The 20,857-nt window shown below is 38.5% G+C and overlaps 1 protein-coding gene across 4 annotated transcripts in view, besides 1 other annotated feature; it reads right to left on the bottom strand.

Annotated features, from left to right (window-relative positions):
* The window catches only part of SCAMP1 (secretory carrier membrane protein 1), a 120,123-nt gene that overhangs the window by 6,750 nt on the left and 92,516 nt on the right, over positions 1-20,857 (bottom strand). For all 4 annotated transcript variants that reach the window (NR_110885.2, NM_004866.6, XM_011543727.4 and 1 more), the window contains one exon: positions 14,628-14,745. Coding sequence is in view for 3 of the 4 variants with exons in the window: in NM_004866.6 (NP_004857.4) it covers positions 14,628-14,745 (118 nt within the window). In the remaining variant the exon portion in view is untranslated. The remainder of the gene's footprint in view (positions 1-14,627; positions 14,746-20,857) is intronic.
* Positions 16,050-16,659: an enhancer, noted in NCBI's record as "NANOG-H3K27ac-H3K4me1 hESC enhancer chr5:77753154-77753763 (GRCh37/hg19 assembly coordinates)". NCBI's record gives its function as "activates a minimal SCP1, AML or CMV promoter by ChIP-STARR-seq in naive and primed H9 embryonic stem cells {active_cell/tissue: H9 hESC(naive and primed)}" and the evidence as "EXISTENCE:reporter gene assay evidence [ECO:0000049][PMID:30033119]".

Here is a 20,857-nt window from a genome sequence, read left to right as displayed (position 1 = left end):
AGTTGGCCCCCCTGAGATACTGAATTTGTCAGTGTCTTTCTTATCTTGGACTTCTCAGCCTCTAGAACTATGAGAAATCATTATCTGTTGTTTAAGCTACCCAATCTATGGTATTTTTGTTATAGCAGCCCAAAGGGACTAAAACAACATATAAATGATAGCTGAAACCTTGGCATTTATGAAACTGTCTATGGAGAACCCAGAGTAGAAAGAGAATAAAATCAAGTATATAACCTAATTAATGCAGAAACAGAAAACCAAATATCACATGTTCTCACTTTTAAGTGGGAGCTAAACATTGGGTATACATGGACATAAAGATGGCAACGATAGATATTGGGGACTTAAAAGATAGGGGAAGGTGGGAGGGGGAGAAGAGTTGAAAAACTACCAATTGGGTACTATGCTCACTACCTGGATGACAGGCTCAACTGTCCCCCAAACCTCAGTATCACATAATATACCCTTGTAACAAACCTGCACATGTATCCCCTGAATCTAAAATAAAACTTGAAATTGTTTTAAAAAGACACTATTTAAGAGGCATCCACAAGAAGAAAGAATGACTGGGAGAGGAAAGGGAAGAACCAGATACAGATACTTCTCACTGATGCCAAGAGAAGAAAGCATGTTAACACATGAAAAGCTGTCAGAAAAACTATCAAGAAAGCAAGTTAATGCATGAAAATCTATCACGGTACAAGACAAAAATAACCCACACAGCCCTGAGTGCTTCTGATACAGTGGTAAAAGCAAACGCCATATTACTACAGATCAAAGTGTCAAATGGTCAGGAAGAAAAAGAGCACTGACAAATACATATACTGGTAAATCCAAAGATTCCTTTCCCCTAGTACCTTAGCACTATCATTAAGTATAAAAGTAATTATTTTTATTCCCTTTTAAAACCAAGTTTTCTATGGAAAATTAAAGATATAGATAAATCACTACTCCTATGTTCCAGACACTTATCTCAAAGTGAGTACAAATGACTGGATCCTAGAAAATGAAGTGTATTATAGAAATCTTATCAACCTTCTTTACTTACTAGACCAAACCAGAGCAATGCAATTGGATTCACTTGTCTGTCTCTTCCCCTCTTCCCCCAAGTTTGTGAGCATGTAATAAATAAATGTTAATTCTTATTTGCTTTATTATTTCCTTTTTCAAACTTGCACTAAATTGAGCAGCTGATACTATGTGTTCATGGGCTTCACAGTTTACTAAAATGTAATTCACAGTCCCACAGAACACAGAAGCAAAATAAAGGTAGGAATAGCCACATTTCTCAATAGTTTGTATCTATATAGACCCAGAGAGCCACCTAGAGGGAAAAGACCACATATATATACAGTGCATAATGCTAAATACTGTATTAAATCCATTATATCCATGTGAAAAAGGGTGGATTCTTGATTTCAGGGCCCCATGAAAGATGACAGGCTAATCATCAGGATGAACATCTTTAAAAGCTTATTACTTCCCTCCAGGGTTTCAGATGGTATCTATTAATAATTCATACTGCTGATATCAGGGACAAGGTTTTGACACCAAGTACTATAATTTTTTTTAAAAAATTACACAACTTGGGGGTGGGGGGCAAGGGGAGGCATAGCGTTAGGAGAAATACCTAATGTAGATAATGGGTTGATGGGTGCAGCAAACCACCATGGCACATGTATACCCATAACAAACCTGCATGTTCTGCACATGTATCCCAGAACATAAAGTATCAAAAAGAAAAAATATTTCAATTTTGATAAAATCTAATTTATCTTTAAAAAAATGCACCAGTTGATGGTTGCTTAAATGGAGCACAATTATCACCAAGTTGCACAGCCTTTTTATCTGTACTGTCACTTTAGAAAATCTCACTGTGTATGTGACCTGAATGCATATTACCTAGTGGAAAATTCCATAAATGCAGAATAGCCTAGAGAATTCAAAAAAAAAATTAAACAACTTAAATACTATCTTTTCTACTTATGAGAACTGCATTACTCCTAAAATAATATTTAGTTCTAGGAAAATCACAGAAAAGGCATTAAATTTGGTATATACTAATTCCACTACTTTCTAGCTGGCTGGCCACCACTCAAAACTTCAAGTCTGCTTCCCATAAAAAAAGAATATTTGTTACACTATCTGCTCCTCTGAGTTTTCCTAAAGATCAAATCAGAATGTATATAAATGAGTTACACTAACATAAGTTAAATTAATTTTTAAGTATCTGCCGAAGTGTCACAGCCAAAATGTAGATGCGGCTCCATAAAGGAGTCCTGCCTCCTTAATGCAGCTTCAGAGACAATACATGCTGTGGTGGTATATGACACAGAAAAACTGTATCGTGTGGGAAGTAAAGAATAATGGCACTTTATTTAAATAACCCAAACATATGTCTTCATTAAAACATATAGAATACCATTTCAAGAAACTGTGCTTTTATTAAGATCCCTGTCATGCCAAAATTATTTCAACTTTTATAAAAGCTGGGAAAATAAAAACAAATGAGTTTTTTAAATATATTTTTTAAATTCTTGTTTTGAGTTTTTAAAAAAGTATGGACGTCTAAGCCTAATATTTTCAGTTTGAAATTTCTGGAAACCCTCTATGAACCCTCCTGCCCACAGATGGGTCAGATATCCCTTTTGTAACCCCTTGAATTGCCAGTCTAGTTTCACCATGTCGAAATCTCACGCACCCTTTAAGCACTATCTCAAATAATGCTCTGTCTGCCATTTTGTGCCTGAACTAGCTATGGCTTTCCCTATTGAGAGTACCGCCAATCCTTTGTACATTTTGGGGAGCATGTATGTACTTTTTCTTTTACAGGGTTTCTGTCCATTTTGTATTATATCCTACATGCTTTTACTTGCCTAAGGGCAAGAACTAATTCTACTCATTGTTACACCCCCTAAAAGACACAGCTTAGTAATCTGCAGTAGAAGCCACTGAATAATTATTATTACTACCTGCTGAGGATTAAATGTTCCAAAATTGTCCTCATTAATAATAATTTTTAGAAGGTACCAAATAAGTGCAATATGGCTTAAGGAGACTATACCTGTGTTACAAAGTAAAATGCTTAGTTTGCAGTCACCTCAGAGGTTAAATGTTTTTAAAGTATACAACTACTTCACACCTGCTAGGATGGCTGGAATGAGAAAAACGGAAAATCACAAGTGTTGGCAAGGATGTAGAGAAAGTGCTGGTGGGAATGTAAAATGATACAGTCCTTCCAGAAAAGAGTTTGGAGGTGCCTCAAAAACCTAAACATAGAATTACTATAAGACTACATAGGAATTCCACATTGGGTATATATGTACACAAGAGAGGTAAAAGCAAAGACTCAAACAGATAACTGTACACCAATGTTCACGGCAGCACTATTCACAATAGCCAAAAGGTGGGAAAATCTCAAATGCCCATCAACAGATAAACAATGTAGTATACAGATACAATGGAATATTATTCAGTCTTAAAAATGAATGCATTTCTGATACATGCTGCAACACGGATGAACCTTGAAAACATTATGGTAATGAAAGAAGCCAAGTACAAAAGGAAAATATTGTATAACTCCATTTATATGAAATATCTAAAATAGGCAATTCATAGCAAATTAGAGGCTGCCAGAGGCTGAGAATAGGGAGGAATAAAATTATTGCTTAATGATTAGAGTTTCTGTTTGGGGTGATGCAAAGTTCTGGAAATAGACATTAGTAATGGTTGTACAACACTGTGAATGTAATTGATGCCACTGAATTGTATACCTAAATGTAATTAAAATGTCAAAGTTTATGTTATACATATTTTGCCACAATTAAAACAAATACAATACACCAAAAGCCATTAAATTGTATACTTTAGGTTTTTTTAAATTATTTTGTATTTTTTAGAGACAAGGTCTCACTCAGTAGCCCAGGCTGGAGTGTAGTGGTATGCAATCATAGCTCACTGCAGCCTCAAACTCCTGGGTTCAAGTGATCCTCCCACCTCAGTCTCTCCAACAGCTAGGACAATAAACTCACACCACCATGCCTGGGCTGTGTTGTTGTTTTTTTTTTTTTTTTTTTGTTTTTTTTTTTTTTTTTTTTTTAATGTCTTGTAAGGGGTTGGAGGGTAGTCTCATTATGTTGCCCAGGCTGATCTCAAACTCCTCGCCTCAAGTCATCTTCTTGCCTCGGCCCCCCAAACCCTCCCAAAGTGCTAGAATTACAGGTGTGAACCACCATGCACAGTCTAAACCGTATATTTTAAATGGGTGAATTGTATGTGAATTATATTTCAATAAAGCTGATAAAAATATGCATATAAAGATGACTTAGATGAAAGTGCCACATGAACAGCATTATAAATACTCACCAATCTACGAAATCTACCAAATTTGAAGATGCCTAAGATAATAATAATTTAGTTATAGTAACCTAGATTTGGGATCTATTAAGTAGCTAGCTTAGTACTTATTGAAAAAGGTAACAAAATTAAAATTGGGGGTAAAGTTTTTTTTTTTTTGGTGAATATACTAAGAGTATCAGCCGAGGACAGAATATAAACAATCTGCTCAAGAGTGCCATTTTTTTCTAGGAATTCAAAAGTATTACTCTATCTGTGTCCCTTAGAAGAAGGTGACAAGTAACTGGATGACTATTTTAATAGACAATGTGAACCATCCAGAATTGATTCCTAGTCAGCAAAGACGACAGTGCTGAATGGTTCTGAGAGAGAAGTAGCATGCCTATTTGTGACTATAGAAAAATAGTACAGTGGAATTATCAGCTTTCTATCCTAGGTCATAAATAAAGTTACAAAGTGGAAGAGACAAGGGGGAGAGGTGAATGATAACAATATTTTCAAGAAAGTATAGATGATAATCCTTGAACTGGGCAGGTCCACTTATAATATGTGATTTTTTTCCAACCAAACTCACATAGAAAATACAGTATTCATGGGATGTAAAACCCAAGTACACAGAAGGCTTTTTGTATACATGGGTTCTGCAGGGCTGACTCCAAGACTTGAGTATGCATAGATTTGGTATATGGATGTGTGGGTTCTGAAACCAATCCCCTGCATATAGAGGGATAACTGTAAGAGTCACTTTTCACCTAAGAAAACTATCACTTTATATATAATAGGATATCTTCACAAAGCATTTACCATAAAACACCAACTAATGAGACTTAATCACAGTGTTCTCTATCATAGACCCAATTCAGCGCTCCCACAAAAATGAGTATCTGCAGAATATATACTGTAGTAAATAAACAAGATTTGAAACACTTCAGAAAACTTGTTTTTTAAAGAGGTAAAATAACTTTTTTCTAAAATTCTTTCAAAATGCAAAAAATTCACTATTAAAAACTACTTAATGTGAACATGACAGTCTATGAACAAATTTCATGGAAGTGATAATCATTCAAAATCAGGTCCCAAAAGGAATACAAATGATATATCATCTATTAATTACTTCCATATTAAGTTATTCTAGCCATACCAATTAACAGAAGGGAAAAGTTTTGGATTCCCTGATCCATAGTCTCCTGTGATGCATTCATTTACTGTTATTTGACACATTTATAACAACTCCCTGCTTGGCCCAAAACCATTACTCAATTCTTTCTGATAGTTCTAATAGAAAGAGGAGCTTTTGTAAAAACACCATTTGGAAATAATCTGAAAGAAAACAAGAAATCTATTTGTGAAAGATAAGGACTAAACTAGACCCTTCTCCATGCAGATGTATAGGAGACATATATTCTTTCAATATTTGAAATGTGGAGTATAAAACAACACTGTGGGGGAAACAAACAGCACAATCTCATACTGGGCCCTGCAGCACCAATGATGACCCACTTCAGTTATGCAAGACAACAGAAAGCCAACGAAATTACCAAAATCCTATTCACTTCAATTAGGATAAATATATAGGACAGAGCACATTTACCTTAAGAGAAGAACAGCTTAATAAAACCCAACAATTCTAGAGTCAAAACCGTGCACAGATTACGGTTAGAGGGCATTAACTGTTCTTGAAAAGCATGACCCCTAGTGGTTATAAATACTGCTACATACCTGCAAAGGATTTTTTGTCATTAAACTGCCAGTTTTGACCAAGTGTGAAACAGAAAATTAAAAAGGAAAAATTAGGTTTTTAAAATTGGATCTTAATTTCTATTACAGCAAGAGAAATGCCTGCTATTAAAATATGAAAGCTGGTGCAAATTATATTTTAGCTTATAGTATCCCTATCGTACTTCATAAAATCATACAGAAAATCATCTCATCTAAACTCCTTATTTCACAGATAAAGAATCTGAGACCCAGAGAAGTTTAGGAACTTGTGAACACATATAAACAGAAGTTCTGGTAACTTCTTTAACTATGAGGTAAAAACAACAACAACAACAAAATATTAGAGTATGCTGCATGATATCCATATCAATACTTTTATTCGAGAAAGTCATATTTCTTTTCAATGCCTGGCATATGAGCACCATTCTATAACTTTTCCTTTGTGTGGTGGATCCTGAAAAACTGTATACCTGGAAAATGGAAAGGAAAAAAACTGCTGGTCAAAGTATTCAGAGTGTGCACAGAGTAGTTCATTATAGAACAGCTACAGAATAAACACTTCCTCCACACCCTGGCTCTATTGATCATCTGTGCCACACATTCCTCAACCACTGCCAGTGATGGTTAAAGTTCCCTTTATACTTCACCCACAGCAGAGTCTTAATTGTTGTGAGTATTCTCCCCAAAGCCCTCTTCTGACTCCATACACTTTCTAGGCTTCATTTACTTCAACAAGTCAATACTTTCCAGTCTAGAAATCCAGCCTAAAGTTCTTCCCTTGCTCCTAACTCATATATACAAAAGCCTACTCAATATTTATATTTTAATGCCCCACCAGTTAATTTAAACTCCCCAAATTCAAGGTCAACGTGGAAAACATCTTGATCCCCAAACCATTTTTCTTGTACTCTCTTCTTGAATGGTCCATCATCTAAAAACCTGGGTGTCATCCTTGAGTCTTATCTTGTCCCCTACTTCCAGGCCCAGTTGGATTAATCCTTACCTGCTCGTTTTCTCTTGACTACATTTTCTTCACATTTCCTCAGTTCAGGCCACCATCATTACTAATCAGCTTCCTAGCCCGTCTCCTAAGTGTTTCCAAGTACGACTGCTCGGCCCCGCAAATCCCAAATGTATTTCAGAATAAATGCTTCTAAAATTCAAATCTAATCAATTCAATTACTCTCCTCCTTAAAACTCTTCTATGGCTCACTACCACTTTTTGGAGAAGATTTAAACTTCTTAACAAGACCCTGTAGGATAAAACTATACTTACGTGTTCAATTTCATCTTCCAATACCAACAACCTACAATTCTCCTAGCCCCAGCTCACACACCATGTTTTATCTCCCATCCATTCTGAGCTACATTTAATTCCCTGAATTTGCCATGTTATTTCCTACAACTAGATGTGAACGTGGTATCCCCACTCTCTGGTACCTCCTTATCCCTCTTATCCTCTTCCCTGTCCCTTATTCTTTTGCTTAGATAACTATAATGATGAGCAGCCATCATTATATCTCAGCTGAGGCAATACTTAAAAAGACCTCCAAAACCTGATAGGTGTCCCTCTGCTCCCTATACTTACCTCTATCATGGCCATTAAATAACTGAATTGGGGGGCCCACCAATTTATTTCTCTTCCTCACCAACAGGTGATCTCTCTGAGCTCATGCACAGCCCAGTGCCTGGCACGTAATATATGCTCAATAACAGCTGTTTAACAAATGAGTGAAAACTGCCACACACCACAAAACCCTCTACTATACTCAAAATGTATTACATTTCTACTTCTATAAAACACCCTCAATAATACATGTGAAATAATAAAGGAATTCTCCAAAGAATGGTGCTGTGATGGTCAGTGTTACATGTTAATTTGGCTAGGCCGCAGTCTCCAATTATTCAATCAAACACTAACCTAGGTGCCGCTGTGAAGGTATCTTGTAGATGTAATCGGCATCTGCCTTCAGTTGACTTTAAGAAGAGTGTTCTAGATTATCTGGGTATGCCCCATCCAATCTGTTGAAAGGCCTTAAGAACACAACTGGAGTTCCTCTGAGGAAGAAGAAATCCCACTTGTGGACCAGAGTTTCAACTTCTGCCTGAGAGTTCCGGCCTGCCCTCTTGATATCAGACTGACCTCACCAGCCAATTCCCCGCAATTAACCTTTTCATTCTTTCTGTTTCTGATAGCATGCTGACTGATAAAGGCATCTACTAAACAAAAGTAGACACTAAACCAGACCCTGAATATAAAATGATAAAAAGGTCAAGATCAGAAAGGAAAACTATTAACTGAGAAGGCCCTATTCTATGCAGTTTACATTCACTGTTTCATTTAATCCTCACACCAACCCTATGAAAGTGGTTACTCTTCCCATTCCTTCTTTTATTCAACAAATATCTGAGTGCCTATCACATGCCAATCACTGCATGTCACTGTTCCAGATGTGAGAATTACAACCTGAAAGCATACAGAACAGGTCTCCACTCTCACGCAGCTTGGAGTACAGTTGAGGACACCAAACCTGAGTGGTTACAGAAGTCTGTCTCAGGTCACAGAGCTGTAAGTGAAGCTGTCAAAATTTCAACCTGAGTTGTATGGTTCCAAAGCAAAACTCTTGCTCTTCTCATCTAATTCCAATGCTAAAAGACTTGTTCACGCGGGGGGTGCTTAACAGCTGCGTACCCAGAATACATGCACCATAAGGCATAAAAACTGGCTTATGCCCAGGTGCCACAGTAAGCAATATAGACAGTTAAGTTTCCCCAAGAAAACAGAGAATGACATGGTCCCTAAGATACAAGGCAACAAAAAACATTCTGGGAGACACAGCAAGATCGGAGCTGGGTCTTGAAAGAATACTAGTAGGTCTTCAAATAGCAGAGAAGACGAATTAATGCACGGATTAAAAAACATCATATAAACAAAATCTGGAACAAAGGAATGTACATGATGTATTTGAAGAAACCGAGCAGTACAGTCTGACAAGAATAGAAAGTGTGAATCATGGAGCTGTGAGACGTCACCATTAGCCCTTCTTCCCACCACCACTATAATCCCAATCTGTGATTCTCCGAGAGGACAAAATGGCATAATACTGGTGAAGTGTTCTGCATAGGGCCCAGAGTATGGCTGAGCAAAATAAAAGTGATTTCATCATTAGGTTATTAAGGCCCATTTGATGGCTTTATGGCATGTAGTGTGTTTTTACAACCTTAGCAATGCTGGTGTTTCTGAATGTAGCCCTTCTTCGCACTGCCACCAAAATGCCGTTCCCAATCCCAGATCCACGTCAAAAATCTGCAGAGTGCCAATTTGTTGGGGTTTTTTTAAGGTTAATATAGGAATTATATATTAAATGGACTGCGAGAAGGATGAGGGAATATAAGTAACCTGTAAAAAGAATTTCTGGATTAGCTGAGGTTGGAAATGGAAAAGATACTAAAAAGGTATCTAAGAAAGTGAATTAAAAAGTAATGGAAGTGGCTGTGCGTGGTGGCTCATGCCTGTAATCCCAGTAGGCAGAACACGAGGTCAGGAGATCAAGAGCATCCTGGCCAACATGGTGAAACCCTGTCTCTACTAAAAATACAAAAATTAGCCAGGCATGGTGGCACATGCCTGTAATCCCAGCTACTCAGGAGGCTGAGGCAGGAGAACTGCTTGAACCAGGGAGTTGGAGGCTGCAGTGAGCAGAGATCACGCCATCACACTCCAGCCTGGTGACAGAGCAAGACTCTATCTCAAAAAAAGAAAAAAAAAAATAGCTGAGTGTGGTGGCGCATGCCTGTAGTCCCAGCTACTTGGGAGGCTGAGTCAGGAGAATCGCTTGAACCCGGGAGGCGGAGGCTGCAGTGAGCCAAGATCGCGCCACTGCACTCCAGCCTGGCGACAGACAGATTCTGTCTCAAAAAAGAAGTAATGGAAGCACTGACAGAAGCAATCACAGCACTGACAAAAATGTTCAATGGAATTACATAAAGTGCTTAGTGCCATCTCATTAGTAGGTATTCAATAAGTGTTTCTTCAAAAAAAAAAGCTTCATTAAGATAAAATCTGTATACTATGCATTTTACCCTTTAAAGTGTACAATTCAATGATTTTTAGTATATTCATAGAGTTGTGACTATAATATCTACACAACCTAATTTTAGAATACTTTCATTACCCTCACTCCCCACCCCACCCATAAGCCACAGGCAAGCTGTAATACATTTTCTGTCTCTATATATTTGCCCATTTTATACATTTCACAATAATGGAATCTATACAATATGTGGTCTTAATAAATGCTTCTTGAATATTACTCAGAACGTTCAAAAGGAACATCTATCACTAAGAAACTGAAGAGTTTATGAGGCATTACTGTGAGAAGATGACATCAATCAACAACTGGAGATGAAAATGACCAATTGAAGATGCAACTAAAGGTTTATGCAATGCATTATCTTTTCCAATTCCAAGATTCTAGGTCATCTAGGTAGAGAAGAAACTGAAATAATAAGGGAAGATGAAATTCCCAAAGAAAATGACTGCATAGCACAAAGAGCCGATTACATTTAAGACCTTAATTTATGAACTGGATGAAGAAATGGAGGAGAAAGAATAGCCAGAGAGTCAAGAGAATTAGAACATCATTGCAAAGTCTTAGCAGAGGAGCCATCTGTGGTGTAGAAAGCTACAGAGGTTAAGGAGGAGGAAAACTGGAAAAGGGATTTAGTAACATTAGAGAGCTGAGTGTCAATGGTATGTGTGTTTGGTGCAGAAGAGAAGTTAAAAATTTCAAATAGAGAAAATATGGAAGAACGGACACAGTCTAACCTTCGTAGGGTTTTGAGAAGGATAAAAGACAAATGTCTGAGTAAAGTACTGAAAGAGTAAAAGTGGTTTTAAATATAAGGTAAAATTATTTCTATGCATTCCTCATACATAGTCTCAAGTAATGAAATGGTAAAAAAAATTATAAGGACTTATTTTCTTTAAAGTGAGACCTATCAAAAAGTCTTTTTCATTTAAAACATAGGTGTTATTCCCAAGGTCTCAATATCATGTTTGAATACATATAAAATATATCAAAATTACATATATCCAAGACAAAATAAAACTTTAAATAAACAAATAAAAACACTAATTTACCTTCCTCTATGTAATGATTTTTTTTTTAAAGCTGTGAAAACAGACATGGGAATTCTACAGGAAGAAGTGTAGCTAAAACAACTGGGCAGTTACAAATCCTAAATGACTCCTAAACCTGATAACTAACTTGAGTAAAGTTTCAAGATACAGACTGGGTGTGGTGGCTCACACCTGTAATCCCGAACTTTGGGAGGCCAAGGCAAGTAGATCACTTGAGGTCAGGAGTTACAGACCAGACTGGCCAACATGGCGAAATCATCTCTACTAAAAATACAAAAAAAATTAGCCAGGTGCCACATCTGTAATCCCGACTACTCAGGAGGCTAAAACATGAGAATTGCTTGAACCCAGGAGGTAGAGGCTGCCGTGAGCCAAGATCACACCACTGCACTCCAGCCTGGGCAACAGAGTGAGATTCTGTCTCAAAAAACCAACAAAAAGTTTCAAGATACAAAATCAACATACAAAAATCAGTAGCATTTCTAAACACCAACAACGTTCAAGCTGAGAACCAAATAAAGAACCCAATCCCATTTACAATAGACACACACACACACACACACACACACACACACTCCTACACACATCCAGAATACATTTAACTAAGAAGGTGAAAGAACTCCATAAGAAGAATTGCAAATCACTGATGAAAGAAATCACACATGACACAAAGAAATGGAAAAACATCCACATTCATGGATTAGAAGAATCAATATTGTTACAATGACCATACTGTCCAAAGCAATATATAGATTCAATACAATCCTATCAAATTACCAACATCATTTTTCACAGAAGTAGAAAATACAATTCTAAAATTCATATGGAACCAAAAAGAGTCTGAATAGCTAAAGCAATCCTAAGCAAAAAGAACAAAGCCAGAGGCATCATATTGCCTGACTTCAAACTATAGTGCACAGTGGCTCACACCTGTAATCCCAGCACTTTGGGAGGCTGAGGCGGGCGGATCACTTGAGGCCAGGAGTTAGAGACCAACCTGGCCAACATGGTGAAATCCCGTCTCTGCTAAAAATACAAAAATCAGCCAGGCATGGTGGTTCACGCTTGTTAGTCCCAACTACTTGGCTGTCTGAGGCATGAGAATCACTTGAACCTGGGGAGGCTGAGGGTGCAGTGAGCCGAGATTGTGCCACTGCACTCCAGCCTGGGCGTCAGAGCAAGATTCTGTCTCAAAAAAGAAAAAAGACTATGGTAAGCAAGCAGCATGGTAACCAGTACAAAAACAGACCAATCGAACAGAGAACCCAGAAATAATGCCACACACCTACAACCAACTGATCTTTAACAAAGCTGACAATAATGAACAATGGGGAAAGGACACCCTATTCAATAAATGGTGCTGGGTAAACTGGCTAGCCACATGCAGAAGAATAAAATTGACCCCTACTTCTCACCACATACAAAAATTAACTCAAGATGGATTGAAGACTTAAATGTAAAACCTCAAACTACAAAAATCCTAGAAGAAAATCTAGGAAATACTCTTCTAGACATTGGCCTAGACAAAGAATTTACTACTAAGACCTCAATAGCAAATGGAACACAAACAAAAATTGACAAATGGGACTTAAAGAGCTTCTGCATAGCAAAAGAAACACTAAACAGGCTGGGCGTGGTGGCTCATGCCTGTAATCCCAGTACTTTGTGAGGGCTGATCATTTGAGGTCTGGAGTTCAAGGCCAGGCTGGCCAACATGGTCAAACTCCATCTCTACTAAACATATAAAAATTAGCCAGGCATGCTGGTGCACACCTGTAATCCTAGCTACTCAAGAGGCTGAGACAGGAAAATTGTGTGAACACGGGAGGTGGAGATTGCAATGAGCTGAGATTGAGCCACTGCACTCCAGCCTGGGTGACAGAGTGAGACTCTCTTTCACAAAAGAGACAGGAAGACAGAAAGAGAGACAGATAGAGGAAAGACAAGAAAGGAAGGAAGGAAGGGAGGAAGGAAGGAAGGAAGGAAGGAAGGAAGGAAGGAAGGAAGGAAGGAAGGAAGGAAGGAAGGAGAAAAGAAACCAAAAGAAAGAAAGAGAGAATAAACAGAGTAAAGAGACAATCTACAGGATGGGAGAAAATATGTGCAAACTATGCATCTGACAAAGGACTAATATCCAGAATGTATAAAGGACTTAAACAAATCAACAAGAAAAAAAAAACCCCATTAAAAAGTAGGCAAAGGATATCAACAGACACTTCTTGAATGAAGACATACAAGCAGCCAACAAATGGAAGAAAACTCAACATCACCAATCAGAGAAATGCAAATCAAAACCACAATAATTCCCATCTCACACCAGTCAAAATGGCTATTATTAAAAACTCAAAAAACAACAGATGTTGGCAAGGATGCAGAGAAAATGGAATGCTTATATACCGTTGACGGGAATATAAATTTGTTCTACTTCTGTGGAAAACAGTATGGAGATTTCTCAAAGAAGTAAAAATAGACCTTCCATTCAACCCAGCAATCACCCTATACTGGGTATCTAACCAAAGGAAAAGAAATCATTTTATCAAAAAGACACCTGCACTCATATGCTTATTGCAGCACTAGTCACAATAGCAAAGTCACAGAATCAACCTAAGCGTCCATCAATAGTAGACTGAATAAAGAAAATGTGATACATATACATCACGAAATACTACACCACCTAAAAAATGAAATTATGTCCTTCGTAGCAACATAGATGCAGCTGCACGCCATTATCCTAAGTGAATTAACACACTAACAGAAAATCAAATACTGCATGTTCTCACTTAGAAGTGGGAGCTAAACAAAGGGTTCACACAGACATAAAGATGGAAACAGACACCGGGGACCCAAAAGGGAGGGAGGGAGAAGAGCAAAGCTTGAAAAACTATCGGGTACTATGTTCACTATTTGGGTGATGGGTTCAATAGAAGCCCAAACCCCAGCATTATGCAACATAACCATGTAACAAACCTGCACATGTTCCCTCTGAATTTATAATAAAAAATTAAAAAACAAAACAAAAACCTAAGAGATATATATGAATAAAATGTACATATCACATAATAATTTTACTTCTATTTATTAACAGGCTAATATCCTTCATATCAAAAAAAAGAAATTTAGAGTATATTTAAAAATCCAAATTTTAAAAATGAGGCTGACTCTTTAACTCATGAAAGCCTTCAGTTAAAATGATTTTAAAATATTCCCTTTTTACTGAAGTTTAAAATGTGATGCAATTTTCTAAAATGTACTTATGCATAACTTTTAATTGTAAAAAGTAATCCTCAGAGAGCAAACTCATACAATAACGATAAAATGGCTTCAGGTTACACCAAATTATAGCAAAATAGGAAAATGAGAACTTTACATCACGTTCACTATAAAAATTTAGACATAAAATTTCACTTACTTTTTTGAACATAACTAGTGAGATGACTGCTGATGCTGTGAAAAGTGCTGCTATGATTATCATCATGATTCCAACAGGAATATTTTGGTTGAGACCAGTAAGGGATGAAATCCAACCACTAAAAAGTAATAAAAAGTGTAATTAGGCAAAAGTTGATGTAAACTTTTTAAAAATAGCATAATATCTAACACATATTCAACACTTATCAGCCAGGCAATATTCAAGTTCTTTATGTGTATTAGTGCATTTAATTCTCACAACCCACCCAATAGGATAGATGCTGTTTTAAATCCCCATTTGACAAATGAGGAACTGAGACATTCAGTAATCTGCCCGAGGTCACACAGCTTATAAATGGCATAGTCTAAATTCAAAAGCAAACCAAACTCCAGAGTCTCAAGTGTTTAATTCCAGACTGTACATTTTTTAAGCTGTACATTTTTTAAGCTTATGAGTTTTGAATTTATTATTACTCTTTTTTTTGAGACAGAAGCTCGCTCTGTTGCCCAGGCTGCAGTATAGTGGCATGATCTCGGCTCATTGTAATCTCCGCCTCCTGGGTTCAAGCGATTCTCCTACCTCAGCCTCCTGAGTAGCTGGGATTACAGGTGCGTGCCACCACGCCTGGCTACTTTTTGTATCTTTAGTAGAGACGGGGTTTCACCATGTTGGTCAGACTGGTCTCGAACTCCTGACCTCGTGATCCACCTGACTCGGCCTCCCAAACTGGGATTATAGCGTGAGCCACTGCACCTGGCCTATTATTACATTTTTTTAAATGTTTATTTTCAATTCTGCTGAATTATGAAAGAAGATATTTATAAACCATATATCCAACAAAGGATTCACATCTAGAATATACATAACTTTCAAAGCTCAACAGAATACAAAAATTAAGAAAATGGATAAAAGACATGCAGAGACATTTTACTAAGAGGACATAAAGACGACAAATAAGCACATGAAAAGATGTTCAAAACCACAATGAGATATCACTACACACCTATTAGGATGGCTAAAATAAAAAGTAATAACCACTAAATGCTGGTGAGGAAGTGGAGACTAAATTGCTCATAATTGTTGGTGGGAGTGTAAAATAGCACAAGCATTCTAGAGAACAGTTTGTCTGTTTCTTTAGAAAACTAAACATGCGGAGAGGAGCCAAGATGGCCGAATAGGAACAGCTCCGGTCTACAGCTCCCAGCGAGAGCGACGCAGAAGACGGGTGATTTCTGCATTTCCATCTGAGGTACCAGGTTCATCTCACTAGGGAGTGCCAGACAGTGGGCACAGGTCAGTGGGTGCGCGCACCGTGCACAAGCCGAAGCAGGGCGAGGCATTGCCTCACTTGGGAAGCGCAAGAGGTCAGGGAGTTCCCTTTCCGAGTCAAAGAAAGGGGTGACAGACGCACCTGGAAAATCGGGTCACTCCCACCCGAATATTGCGCCTTTCGGACCGGCTTAAAAAATGGCGCACCACGAGATTATATCCTGCACCTGGCTCGGAGGGTCCTACGCCCACGGAGTCTCGCTGATTGCTAGCACAGCAATCTGAGATCAAACTGCAAGGCGGCAGCGAGGCTGGGGGAGGGGCGCCCACCATTGCCCAGGCTTGCTTAGGTAAACAAAGCAGCCGGGAAGCTCGAACTGGGTGGAGCCCACCACAGCTCAAGGAGGACTGCCTGCCTCTGAAGGCTCCACCTCTGGGGGCAGGGCACAGACAAACAAAAAGTCAGCAGTAACCTCTGCAGACTTAAATGTCCCTGTCTGACAGCTTTGAAGAGAGCAGTGGTTCTCCCAGCACGCAGCTGGAGATCTGAGAACGGGCAGACTGCCTCCTCAACTGGGTCCCTGACCCCTGACCCCCGAGCAGCCTAACTGGGAGGCACCCCCCAGCAGGGGCACACTGACACCTTACACGACAGGGTATTCCAACAGACCTGCAGCTGAGGGTCCTGTCTGTTAGAAGGAAAACTAACAAACAGAAAGGACATCCACACCAAAAACCCATCTGTACATCACCATCATCAAAGACCAAAAGTAGATAAAACCACAAAGACGGGGAAAAAACAGAACAGAAAAACTGGAAACTCTAAAACGCAGAGCGCCTCTCCTCTACCAAAGGAACGCAGTTCCTCACCAGCAACGGAACAAAGCTGGATGGAGAATGACTTTGACGAGTTGAGAGAAGAAGGCTTCAGACGATCAAATTACTCTGAGCTACGGGAGGACATTCAAACCAAAGGCAAAGAAGTTGAAAACTTTGAAAAAAATTTAGAAGAATGCATAACTAGAATAACCAATACAGAGAAGTGCTTAAAGGAGCTGATGGAGCTGAAAACCAAGGCTCGAGAACTACGTGAAGAATGCAGAAGCCTCAGGAGCCCATGCGATCAACTGGAAGAAAGGGTATCAGCAATGGAAGATGAAATGAATGAAATGAAGCAAGAAGGGAAGTTTAGAGAAAAAAGAATAAAAAGAAATGAGCAAAGCCTCCAAGAAATATGGGACTATGTGAAAAGACCTAATCTACGTCTGATTGGTGTACCTGAAAGTGATGGGGAGAATGGAACCAAGTTGGAAAACACTCTGCAGGATATTATCCAGGAGAACTTCCCCAATCTAGCAAGGCAGGCCAACGCTCAGATTCAGGAAATACAGAGACCACCACAAAGATACTCCTCAAGAAGAGCAACTCCAAGACACATTATTGTCAGATTCACCAAAGTTGAAATGAAGGAAAAAATGTTAAGGGCAGCCAGAGAGAAAGGTCGGGTTACCCTCAAAGGGAAGCCCATCAGACTAACAGCAGATCTGTCGGCAGAAACCCTACAAGCCAGAAGAGAGTGGGGGCCAATATTCAACATTCTTAAAGAAAAGAATTTTCAACCCAGAATTTCATATCCAGCCAAACTAAACTTCATAAGTGAAGGAGAAATAAAATACTTTACAAACAAGCAAATGCTGAGAGATTTTGTCACCACCAGGCCTGCCCTAAAAGAGTTCCTGAAGGAAACGCTAAACATGGAAAAGAACAACCGGTACCAGCCGCTGCAAAATCATGCCAAAATGTAAAGACCATCGAGACTAGGAAGAAACTGCATCAACTAACGAGCAAAATCACCAGCTAACATCATAATGACAGGATCAAATTCACACATAACAATATTAACTTTAAATGTAAATGGACTAAATGCTCCAATTAAAAGACACAGACTGGCAAATTGGATAAAGAGTCAAGACCCATCAGTGTGCTGTATTCAGGAAACCCATCTCATGTGCAGAGACACACATAGGCTCAAAATAAAAGGATGGAGGAAGATCTACCAAGCAAATGGAAAACAAAAAAAGGCAGGGGTTGCAATCCTACTCTCTGATAAAACAGACTTTAAACCAACAAAGATCAAAAGAGACAAAGAAGGCCATTACATAATGGTAAAGGGATCAATTCAACAAGAAGAGCTAACTATCCTAAATATATATGCACCCAATACAGGAGCACCCAGATTCATAAAGCAAGTCCTGAGTGACCTACAAAGAGACTTAGACTCCCACACATTAATAATGGGAGACTTTAACACCCCACTGTCAACATTAGACAGATCAACAAGACAGAAAGTCAATAAGGATACCCAGGAATTGAACTCAGCTCTGCACCAAGCAGACCTAATAGACATCTACAGAACTCTCCACCCCAAATCAACAGAATATACATTTTTTTCAGCACCACACCACACCTATTCCAAAATTGACCACATACTTGGAAGTAAAGCTCTCCTCAGCAAATGTAAAAGAATAGAAATTATAACAAACTATCTCTCAGACCACAGTGCAATCAAACTAGAACTCAGGATTAAGAATCTCACTCAAAACCACTCAACTACATGGAAACTGAACAACCTGCTCCTGAATGACTACTGGATACATAACGAAATGAAGGCAGAAATAAAGATGTTCTTTGAAACCAATGAGAACAAAGACACAGCATACCAGAATCTCTGGGATGCATTCAAAGCAGTGTGTAGAGGGAAATTTATAGCACTAAATGCCCACAAGAGAAAGCAGGAAAGATCCAAAATTGACACCCTAACATCACAATTAAAAGAACTAGAAAAGCAAGGGCAAACACGTTCAAAAGCTAGCAGAAGGCAAGAAATAACTAAAATCAGAGCAGAACTGAAGGAAATAGAGACACAAAAAACCCTTCAAAAAATTAATGAATCCAGGAGCTGGTTTTTTGAAAGGATCAACAAAATTGATAGACCACTAGCAAGACTAATAAAGAAAAAAAGAGAGAAGAATCAAATAGACACAATAAAAAATGATAAAGGGGATATCACCACTGATCCCACAGAAATACAAACTACCATCAGAGAATACTACAAACACCTCTACGCAAATCAACTAGAAAATCTAGAAGAAATGGATAAATTCCTCGACACATACACTCTCCCAAGACTAAACCAGGAAGAAGTTGAATCTCTGAATAGACCAATAACAGGATCTGAAATTGTGGCAATAATCAATATTTTACCAACCAAAAAGAGTCCAGGACCAGATGGATTCACAGCCGAATTCGATCAGAGGTACAAGGAGGAACTGGTACCATTCCTTCTGAAACTATTCCAATCAATAGAAAAAGAGGGAATCCTCCCTAAGTCATTTTATGAGGCCAGCATCATTCTGATACCAAAGCCTGGCAGAGACACAACCAAAAAAGAGAATTTTAGACCAATATCCTTGATGAACATTGACGCAAAAATCCTCAATAAAATACTGGCAAAACGAATCCAGCAGCACATCAAAAAGCTTATCCACCATGATCAAGTGGGCTTCATCCCTGGGATGCAAGGCTGGTTCAATATATGCAAATCAATAAATGTAATCCAGCATATAAACAGAGCCAAAGACAAAAACCACATGATTATCTCAATAGATGCAGAAAAAGCCTTTGACAAAATTCAACAACACTTCATGCTAAAAACTCTCAATAAATTAGGTATTGATGGGACGTATTTCAAAATAATAAGAGCTATCTATGACAACCCCACAGCCAATATCATACTGAATGGGTAAGAACTGGAAGCATTCCCTTTGAAAACTGGCACAAGACAGGGATGCCCTCTCTCACCACTCCTATTCAACATAGTGTTGGAAGTTCTGGCCAGGGCAATTAGGCAGGAGAAGGAAATAAAGGGCATTCAATTAGGAAAAGAGGAAGTCAAATTGTCCCTGTTTGCAGACGACATGATTGTATATCTAGAAAACCCCACTGTCTCAGCCCAAAATCTCCTTAAGCTGAGAAGCAACTTCAGCAAAGTCTCAGGATACAAAATCAATGTGCAAAAATCACAAGCATTCTTATACACCAATAACAGACAGAGAGCCAAATCATGAGTGAACTCCCATTCACAATTGCTTCAAAGAGAATAAAATACCCAGGAATCCAACTTACAAGGGATGTGAAGGACCTCTTCAAGGAGAACTACAAACCACTGCTCAAGGAAATAAAAGAGGATACAAACAAATGGAAGAACATTCCATGCTCATGGGTAGGAAGAATCAATATCGTGAAAATGGCCATACTGCCCAAGGTAATTTACAGATTCAATGCCATCGCCATAAAGCTACCAATGACTTTCTTCACAGAACTGGAAAAAACTACTTTAAAGTTCATATGGAACCAAAAAAGAGCCCGCATCGCCAAGGCTATCCTAAGCCAAAAGAACAAAGCTGGAGGCATCACACTACCTGACTTCAAACTATACTACAAGGCTACAGTAACCAAAACAGCATGGTACTGGTACCAAAACAGAGATATAGATCAATGGAACAGAACAGAGCCCTCAGAAATAACGCCACACATCTACAACTATCTGATCTTTGACAAACCTGAGAAAAACAAGCAATGGGGAAAGGATTCCCTGTTTAATAAATGGTGCTGGGAAAACTGGCTAGCCATATGTAGAAAGCTGAAACTGGATCCCTTCCTTACACCTTATACAAAAATCAATTCAAGATGGATTAAAGACTTAAACGTTAGACCTAAAACCATAAAAACCCTAGAAGAAAACCTGGGCATTACCATTCAGGACATAGGCATGGGCAAGGACTTCATGTCCAAAACACCAAAAGCAATGGCAACAAAAGCCAAAATTGACAAATGGGATCTAATTAAACTAAAGAGCTTCTGCACAGCAAAAGAAACTACCATCACAGTGAACAGGCAAC

This window comes from Homo sapiens, chromosome 5, assembly GCF_000001405.40.
Source record: "Homo sapiens chromosome 5, GRCh38.p14 Primary Assembly".
NCBI lineage: Eukaryota > Metazoa > Chordata > Mammalia > Primates > Hominidae > Homo > Homo sapiens.
The sequence above is the reverse complement of the archived record's forward strand: the minus strand, read 5'-3'. Positions and strand labels throughout refer to the sequence as shown.